This window comes from Homo sapiens, chromosome 2, assembly GCF_000001405.40.
Source record: "Homo sapiens chromosome 2, GRCh38.p14 Primary Assembly".
NCBI classification, from domain to species: Eukaryota; Metazoa; Chordata; class Mammalia; order Primates; family Hominidae; genus Homo; species Homo sapiens.
The window spans coordinates 106,367,574-106,377,950 of NC_000002.12; the positions used below are offsets into that span (position 1 = coordinate 106,367,574).

Here is a 10,377-nt window from a genome sequence, read left to right on the forward strand (position 1 = left end):
AAGTGCTGGGATTACATCGTGAGCCACCGCACCCAACATAAGAATGGTTTTTACCTTTTAAAGGGTTGTAGGAAATAACAAAGATTATGTGATAGAGTCAGTATGTGGACAGCAAACTGCACTATTTAGTCTTTGATCTTTTACAGCAAAAGTTCAAATTTTATGTTGTTACTAATTGCAGACAACCCGAATAAACATACTACGGCCTGGGATTAAATGGCATGCAGCCTTTTTTTTTTTTTTTTTTTAAGTACAATTTCCATTTTATTTTTTCTCTGGAGAATAGTCTGTCTTCAATCTTTTTATTTTCATTTTGTTTTTTTTGAGACGGAGTCTCGCTTTGTTACCCAGGCTGCAGTGCAATGGCACGATCTCGGCTCACTGCAGCCTCCGCCTCCCAGGTTCAAGCGATTCTCCTGTCTCAGCCTCCCTAGTAGCTGGGATTAGGGGTGTGCCATCACGCCCAGCTAATTTTTTGTATTTTAGTAGAGATGGGGTTTCACCCTGTTGCCCAGGCTGATCTCGAACTCCTGAGCTCAGGCAATCCACCCACCTCGGCCTCCCAAAGTGCTAGGATTACAGACATGAGCCACCACGCCTGGCCTTGTCTTCAGTGTTGAAGGACTCAGCTCCTTACATGGGCTTTGGTGGGGGTTGTGGGGCAGCACTCCTCGAAGGTCTAAATCGGGGTGGGTGTGTTTGGTCCTTGTGGGCTTTACAAGGTGGATTCCTGACGACTTTTCTGTGAATTGCACATCTCACACAGTAATTTAGCTTCCCATACAGCTTGGGAAGCACATAGGCATTGAAGACACTCGCTTCACAAATGTCCCTGACTGCTGCAGCCTCCACCACATTTCGAATGATGAATTAATTTCTTTTTTTTTTTTTTTTTTTGAGACAGAGTCTCACTCTGTTGCCCAGGCTGGAGTGCAGTGGCGGGATCTGGACTCACTGCAAGCTCCACCTCCCAGGTTCACACCATTCTCCTCCCTCAGCCTCCCGAGTAGCTGGGACTACAGGGGCCCGCCACCACGACCCGCTAATTTTTTTTATTTTAGTAGAGACGGGGTTTCACTGTGTTAGTCAGGATGGTCTCGATCTCCTGACCTCGTGATCCGCCTGCCTCAGCCTCCCAAAGTGCTGGGATTACAGGCCTTAGCTACCGTGCCCAGCCTCGAATGATGAATTTCTTAATGGCCTTGTCCTTGGGCACACGTCGGGCACAGTTTGTGCAACGAATAGGCTGCATGTGGCTGTGCCCCTTTTAGGCACGATTGTTGTTCCTTCTTTTCTTTGTCATCTTGGAGGCACGGACTGGAGGGAGGAGTGCAGCCATTATTGATCATATTTTTGAATAATATTTAGTGAACTAGAAGTTGCTTATTTGTAATGTCAAGTAGGATACAAAACTTTAACACAGTATGATTATAATTTTGTAAAAATGTATAAAGTGTGTATGTATGTATGAAAAACCCAAAAATTCTCTAATGTATTAATAGTAGATAGTTTGAGATGGTGGCATGATTTTTATTTATAAAGTATTTCTTATGATTATAAAATCATTTAAAAATTTTTCAATATTTTAGCTGAGTGGGAAACATTTCCTGTCAAATAAGGATATGGAGACCAGTCCATGGTACTTTAGATTAAAAGCTGAACTCACTGGGAAAAACCTTATTTTGCATGTGTAACTAGTAAAGCAGAAACAACAGTGTACTGTTCGGCACTGTCTGAATAGTAATTATAGAGTACAGCTTTCATACAGAAGAACAGAACCAATAAGGAAGTCAAACTTGGCAGAATAGTTGAGTGCAATTTATAAATAAGTCAGTTGAAGAAATCATCGACCTTTTACCTGTGGCTGATTCGTGTAATGGTGAGAGTCAGCACAAATGTTAACATTTAGCAACAGCATGTATGTGAAGCTAAAACTTGTAATGCTCTCATCTTTAATGTATTTTAAGGAAGTTGATGCCTAAAGTAAATTTATTAAAAATTCAGAGTTAATTATTTAAGATAGTAATAGATTTTGTGCTCTCTTTGGCTGGGTTGTTCTTTATCTTTAACAATTTTAAGAGCTCCGTTCATAAATATCAGTCTTGTAAAGCCCATTGTTCTATACCTGATTTTTCTATTTTATTTTTAAGGTCTTTTTGGTTCATCACGGGTACAATATGTTGTAGATCATGCAATGAAAATTGTTTTCCTCAATACTGACCCCTCTATTGTAACGACTTATGATGCTGTTCAAAATGTGCATTCTGTGTGGACTCTCCGGAGAGTCAAATCAGAGGTAAGGAGAAAGGCAAGTCACTTCTCCTTAATAGGAAAGGGTAGGCTGGGTGCACTGGCTCACACCTGTAATCCTAGCACTTTGGGAGGCCAAGGCAGGCGGATCACTTGAGGTCAGGACGTTCAAGACCAGCCTGGCCAACGTGGTGAAACCCCATCTATACCAAAAGTATAAAAAATTAGCCAGGTGTGGTGGCTTCTGTAATCCTATCTACTCGGGAGGCTGAGGCAGGAGAATCACTTGAACCTGGAAGGTGTAGGTTGCAATGAGCCAAGATCGTGCCACTGTACTCCAGCCTGGGTGACAGAATGAGACTCCATCTCAAAAAAAAAAAAATGTGTGTGTGTGTATGTATATATATATATATGTATGTATATATGTGTATATATATATGTATGTATATATGTATATATGTGTGTATATATATGTATGTATATATATGTATATATGTGTATATATGTATGTATATATGTATATAGGTATGTATATATGTATGTATATGTGTGTGTGTGTGTGTGTATATATATATATATATATATATATATGAAAGAGTAGTTAATACTTCATACCCTCACATTTTTTTTTTTGGAAGAATCACTTGTGAATAGTTGTTTTATTATTATCATCATCATCATCATCTCTAGAGACAGGGCCTCACTCTGTCACCCAGGCTGAAGTATAATGGCACAATTACAGTTCACTGCAGCCTTGAACTCCTGGGCTCAAGTGATCCTCCTGCCTCAGCCTTCCGAGTAGCTAGGACTACAAGTGTGTACCACCACTCCCAGCTAATTTTTAATTTTTTGTAGAGATGGGATCTTGCTATGTTGCCCAGGCTGGTCTTGAATTCCTTGGCTCAAGCTATCCTCTCTCTTCACCCTCCCAAAGTGCTGGGATTATAGATGTAAGCCATGGCACCTGGCCTCATTTGAGAAATAGATTGAGCTTCTTAGGAAAGAAGAAATACTGTGTCTTTAGTAACTGACTTCAACTTGCATTCTTACAAGGAAATTGCTATTTTATTCTAATTATTGTTTTTTTTTCCTCTTTCTTTTTATTTTGACTTAAGGAAGAGAATGTTGTTTTAAAGTTCTCTGAACAGGGGGGAACCCCACAGAATGTGGCCACTAGCAGCTCCCTCACAGCACATCTCAGAAGCCTCTCCAAAGGAGATTCCCCTGTGATTTCACCTTTCCGGAATTACTCCTCCATTCACAGCCAGAGTCGCTCAACCTCATCACCCAGTCTACATTCTCGCTCACCTTCTATTTCCAACATGGCAGCTCTAAGGTAGAAGGGTTTCCTGGTTTTTCTTTCTAAGCTTTCTGTTTTGTTTTGAAGGATTTAGAATTGCTGTTGACAGCTGTTTTTAGGGGAAATATATTTAGGGGAGTTTTTTTTAGGGGAAATAGCCATTATCCCAATTGAGACTTTTTTTTTTTTTTTTTTTTTGAGACGGAGTCTTGCTGTGTCACCCAGGCTGGAGTGCAGTGGCACAATCTTGGCTCACTGCAAACTCCGCCTCCCGGGTTCACGCCATTCTCCTGCCTCAGCCTCCAGCTGGGACTACAGGCGCCTGCCACCACGCCTGGCTAATTTTTTTTTTTTTTTTGTATTTTTAGTAGAGATGGGGTTTCACCGTGTTAGCCAGGATGGTCTCCATCTCCTGACCTTGTGATCCGCCCACCTCGGCCTCCCAAAGTGTGGGGATTACAGGCGTGAGCCACCGTGCTCAGCCCTGAGCCACTTTTACTAAGATTTCTAAGTTTACCATGTCACATTCTTTCCTGAGTCATATTTTGAAGCTGCCTATGCTTGTCCTAAGGTTAGTTGCCTCATTTCTACCACTATGTGGGCAACGGTTTGATGAATATTAATTCCCAAAATATTGTGGCACTATTTTATTTTTGCCTTAATTTATGTTAGTTTTTCTTTTTTTTCTTGTTATTTGATATCTAAATGTATCTATTTCTCTATATAGATATATACTTAAATCACCAGATATGTATATCTGGTGCTGCAGGGACATTGTTTTGTTGATATATATATATGTCTGACTATACAGGGACATAGTTTAGAGCTTTTTGAATAATCAGTTCATTTTCCGAAAAAGAAGATGATCTAAGTTTTAGTTGTAAAAGATGAGTTCTTCTAACAATAATTCTAAATCTTTAGAATATAGTAAAGCACATTGACATGAAGCATTTAAATAGCTACTCCTTTTTGAAAAATTTTAATTTCTGACCTGGATTATGCCATGAATGCTCTTCTGTCTGTGGAATTTTGGGAAGTGTCATTGGAGTGTGTGTCATATAAGCCTGCCCTGCTAACTGCGATGTACTCTCTCCTCTGTTTATTTTGCAGTCGTGCTCATTCTCCTGCGTTAGGAGTGCACTCTTTTTCAGGGGTGCAAAGGTTCAACATTTCAAGCCATAATCAGTCTCCAAAGAGACATAGTATTTCTCATTCTCCAAATAGTAATTCTAATGACTCCTTTCTTGCACCAGAAACGGAGCCAATTGTTCCTGAACTGTGTATTGACCATTTGTGGACAGAAATGATTACTAATATAAGGTTTGTTATATATATTATTATATTCAAAGAAAAATGTTGCTGAAAGTCTTGGGAAATATATGGCATTTTGTTTAAAGTTTCCTTTTAATGTGATCAGTTATTAATATATGTAAAAATATATAGAGATATGTATTAAGGCCACCTCAGTTTCAGTAGAGGATATTAATGAGATTAAAGTGATCATAGGCTGGACGCGGTGGTTCATGCCTGTAATCCCAGCACTTTGGGAGGCTGAAGCTGGTAGATCACTTGAGCCTAGGGGTTCGAGACCAGCCTGGCCAACATTGTGAAACCCCGTCTCTACTAAAAATACAAAAATTAACTGGGTGTGGTGGTGCATACTTGTAATCCCAGCTACTCAGGTGGCTGAGGCAGAATTGCTTGAACCCAGGAGGCTGAGCTTGCAGTGAGCTGAGATCGTGCCACTGCACTCCAGCCTGGGTGACAGAGTGAGACTATCTCAAAAAAAAAAAGTCGTCATAAAAATATTATTTTGTCATCTGATATTTCTTCCTTTATAGTAATAATCTCTCATTTTTCGGGTGTTTTTTGTTCTGGGGAGAAACAGTTAATTTCCATCCGTGAGGAAATGTGGGGTTTTAGCACGTTTCCTAAGTTTTATGTTCATGTTAGTTGAGTGCCAGCTTTACTTTTTGGGAAACATAGCTTAGATCTCTGTTCTGGGTGACCTTTCTTCTTTTATATTCTCTTTAATAATTCACGTGTTAATTTATATGCCAATGTGTGTGCTAGTTAACAGTCTAATAAGTCACTGTCCCTGTCCTCAAAAGAGGCAGATAGCTGAAGGATGGTGACACAGGAGGGACTACTTTTGCTGGTAGGGCTTTGAAAGACGAATAGGTATTCGCTAGGCAGGGAAGTTGAGAAAGACCACAGACGGCAGCTGGGATCAGAACAAAAGTTCTGGTGAGTGCGTGGTGTATTTAGGGAATTATAAGTACTCCCACTCTGGTTTTTGCAGAGGGGAGGGAAAAGGCTAATGAAGAGGAGGCTTCCTAGGTGCAGTGGCTCACACCTGTAATCACTCACTTTGGGAGGCTGAGGCAGATGGATCACTTGAGCTCAGGAGTTCAAGACCAACCTGCCCAACGTGGTGAAACCCCATGTCTACTACAAATACAAAAATTAGCCAGGCATGATGGCGTGCATCTGTGGTCCCAGCTACTCTGGAGGCTGAGGTGAGAGAGTCATTTGAACCTGGGAGTTGGAGGTTGCAGTGAGCCAAGAGCACACCACTGTACTCCAGCTTGGGCAACAGAGTGAGACTGTCTCAAAAAAAAAAAAAAAAAAAGGAGGCTTGAGCGATTACTGATTGCCCTTTAGGCCTCTGGTCTGTTTGATGACAGCGGTAAGAAGGCACTTTATAAGTGTGTTGGAAGTTTGGGAAAGAGCAGAACAATAAATGTGGAATTGTCAGCTTATAAGTGGTGATTGAGGTAAGAGAATTAGATTAGAATTGAAGAAATATTGTATTCAATAATTGTGTGTACATGTAGCATATAAGCCTTTTCCCAAGGAGAGGGTTTTAACATTCCTTAGATTCTCAAAGGGATTTGTGGCCTCCAAATAGTTAAAATCCAGTGGTGTAGAATGAGAAGAGGGCTAGGAACTGAAGTCCTGGAAACTTAAGATTTGGGGAATGGAAAGAGACAAAGCTGGCGCAGAGAGACAAAGCAAAAGAGGTCAGATGGGAGAAGCAGCAGGAAATACAGAATACAAAAAAGAACATTTCAAGAATACAGAGATGCCAGTATTGCCAGGTACTGGTGAAGTGTGGCCCTGAGAGTTGAACCCAGAGAGGAGGTACCTGGGTGGCAGTGGGTTCCTTGGTGACCTTGGCCAGAGCATTTTAAGCTGGGAGGGTGGCGGGGGAAAGTGGGGTAGAAAAAGTAAATGGGGACTGAGGAAATGAACATAGGCATACAGACTCTTTAAGGAGTTTGCCTTTGAATAGGAATGAAGATACAAAATTAGAGGGAGTCTTGGTCAAGGAGAGTTTTGTTTTTGCTGGACTATAATAAAATTAGTTTTCATGACATCTTGCCCCAGTATTTTCTTTTTCTTTTTTTTTTGAGACAGGGTCTCACTCTGTCACCCAGGTTGGAGTACAGTGAGTGACTCAATCACAGCTCACTGCAGCCTTGGCCTTCTGGGCTCAGGTGATTCCCCAACCTCAGCCTCCCAGGTAGCTGGGACTATAGGCACACACCGCCACGCCTGACTAATTTTTGTAGAGAAAGGATTTTGCCGTGATGCCCAGGCTGGTCTCAAACTCCTGGGCTCAAGCAACCTGCTTGCCTCTGCCTCCCAAAGTAATGGGATTACAGGTGTGAGCCACTGTGCCTGGCCCCCAATATTTTCTTACCTAACCACAATACAAGTTTTATATCCAGTCGAATTGAGAAGGTCTTTTATATACTCTAATGTTGAGTCCATTTTATATTAAGACTTTTAATGTGAAATAGTAGGCTATACGGACTATACTCAAGGGAAAGTATTGAAAATACAGAAGAGAGGAAACGATTGATGGAACAAGTAACCAGAAAGGTGCACAAGTGGTGAGATTAGCCTTGGGATAAAGAAGTGAAGGTTGATCGGATATGTAAGGCAGGAGGTTGAGCTCAAGCCTTAGAGCCTCGTTTTATCTGAAATGGAAGGCAAATGCATAATCTTAGAGAGAATGAAATGGGGATAGGTAGTCTGAAGAAAGTAAAGATGTGGATACAATGTTGAAGTAGTCTCTCTGGCTTGTTTCTCATATATCAAATAAAAGTATCCTACAATTATAGATCATTTTTCTTTAAATAACTTATTTGTAAGTTGAATATATTATAGATTCTTATTTTTTAGATTTATGGGTCTTCTGTAGCACTTTATTTATTTATTTATTTATTTATTTATTTATTTATTTATTTTTTGAGATAGAGTTTCGCTCTTGTTGCCCGGGCTGGAGTGCAATGGCCCGATCTCGGCTCACCGCAACCTCTGCCTCCCAGGTTCAATTGATTCTTCTGCCTCAGCCTCCTGAGTAGCTGGGATTACAGGATTACTGGCTAATTTTGTATTTTTGGTAGAGACAGTGTTTCTCCATGTTGGTCAGGCTGGTCTTGAACTCCTGACCTCAGGTGATCTGCCGGCCTCGGCCTCCCAAAGTGCTGGGATTACAGGCGTGAGCCACCACACCCGGCCTTCTGTAGCACTTTAGAAGGAAGGGTTTGGGAATTAGAGATACGATTTCAAAAAGAGATGTGAATGAGGCCTAATCTGAGAAGGAGAGGGGGTAGAGAGGAGAAATAGCATTATGAAAGATCTGGCCCTTTGCGGGATAGGAATTCAAGTTTGCATGCATCACTTTACAAGTAGGTGGCTTAGTTTGCATTACAAGTAGGGAGCTTACATAGTATGTAATTTAAAAGTTCATCAGTAATTGTTAAATTTATTGTAGCTTTCCCCAACAAAGCTGTGTAATGAGCTCATAATCAAAGAACTGAAAGGATCTTAGAGATCATGAAGTTTAATTCTTAGAAATGTTTGTGTCTTTGAGATTATTGCTTGACCTAAGTAGCTTTTAGATTTCTTGCAGAATATTTTCAAAGACTTTTTTTTTTCTCTCTCTCTCTCTTTTTGAGACGGAGTCTGGCTCTGTCGCCCAGGCTGGAGTGCACTGGCGCGATCTTGGCTTACTGCAAGCCCCTCCTCCTGGGTTCATGCCATTCTCCCGCCTCAGCCTCCAGAGTAGCTGTGACCACAGGCGCCCGCCATCATGCCTGGCTAATTTATTTTGTATTTTTAGTAGAGACGGGATTTCACCGTGTTAGCCAGGATAGTCTGGATCTCCTGACCTCGTGATCTGCCCGCCTCGGCCTCCCAAAGTGTTGGGATTACAGGTGTGAGCCACCGCGCCCGGCCTCAAAGACTTTTAATAGTTACTGTGGTAGATTCTTGGACCAGTGCTGACAGTTACTTTATTAATGTATCTATTATAGAGAGAAAAATTCACAAGCCTCAAAAGTGTTTATTACATCTGACCTATGTGGGCAAAATTCCTGTGCTTTTTAGTAGAGTCCCAGCTCCACTTACGGTAGGTGGATGTATTTCCCATTGTTTCTGTATAAATAACTCAGCACTGCTTTTTCTTTTTCTTTTCTTTCCTTTTTTTTGGCTTAAGTAGTTTTATTTAGAAATAATTTACATGTCATAAAATTAACATGTTTTAACTGTACAATTAAATGATTTTTAGTAAATTACAGTGTTCTACAACCATCACCATGACCCAATTTTACAAGATTTATATCACCATAAAAAGATTTCCTTGTGCTTGTTAGTAGTCAGTCTTGTTCCCATTTCCAGCCTCAGGCAACCATGCTAGGCTTCTGCCTTTATAGATTAGTTTTTCTGGACATTTATATATATATAATGTATGTACACACAGTGTAGCTTTTTGTGTTTAGCTTTCACTTAGCGTGATGTTTTTAGGATCCACCATTTTGTAACATGTATCATTATTTCATACCTATTGCTATGTAATAGTCCATTGTATAGATCTACCACCATGTTTTGTTTATCTGTTCATCAGCTGACGGACTTTTGATTTATTTCCACCTCTTGACTGCTGAGAATTAGGACAGTATGAACATTTGAACAAAGGTCTTGAGCAAAAATGTGGACATATGTGATTTTATTTTTCTTGAGTAAATGCCTAGGATTGGGTCGTTGGGTTGAATGGTAAATTCATGTTTAACTTTTTAAGAAATCACCAAACTGTTTTCCAAATAGCCTGTATCATTTTATATTCCCACCAGCAAAATATGAAGGTTAATGTCTCTTTATCCTTGACAGGATTGGATATCATCACACTCTTTGATTGTAGCTATTTTCCAGTGGTTGTGAAGTGGCTTTAATTTGCTTTTCTCTAATGCATTCTGATGTTGATCATCTCATGAAGTTATTAGCCATTCATTTATCTTCTTAGGTAAAATATCTATTCAGATCTTTTGCCCGTTTATTTCCCTTCATATTTTGAAATACGATAGATCACAGGAAGTTACAAAATAGTAAACAAGTCCTGTGTACCTTGCATTCTTTTTCCCTCACAGGTAACCTCTTATATAACTATAATACATTATCATAACCAGGAAATAGATGATCTACACACGTTATTTCAAATTTCATCAATTTGACATGTACTCATTTATGTGTATGTATGGTTCTATGCAGTTTTTTCACATATGTAGATGTGTGTAAATACCACCACAATCAAGATACAAAACATCTTTATCTGTCTTACGTTAACTCCTTATAGTCACATACACCGTTACCCACTGATCCTGGTAACCACTAATTCTCCATCTTGATAATTTGGCATTTGTGAAGGTTTTATAAATGGGCTCATACAGTATGTAAACTTTTGAGATTGTCTTTTTCTGTTCAGCATAATACTTTTAATACAACCATACAGGTTATTGCATGTATCAAGTTTCTTTTTT

At 40.0% G+C, this 10,377-nt stretch overlaps 1 pseudogene across 1 annotated transcript; it reads left to right on the forward strand.

Moving 5' to 3' along the window:
* The first annotated feature begins 2,171 nt into the window (after positions 1 to 2,171).
* Positions 2,172 to 8,965, forward strand: ANAPC1P6 (ANAPC1 pseudogene 6; annotated as a pseudogene). The gene is made up of 4 exons (NR_157576.1): positions 2,172 to 2,296; positions 3,366 to 3,586; positions 4,661 to 4,870; positions 8,878 to 8,965. The product of NR_157576.1 is annotated as an ANAPC1 pseudogene 6 (transcript).
* Positions 8,966 to 10,377: the final 1,412 nt, after the last annotated feature.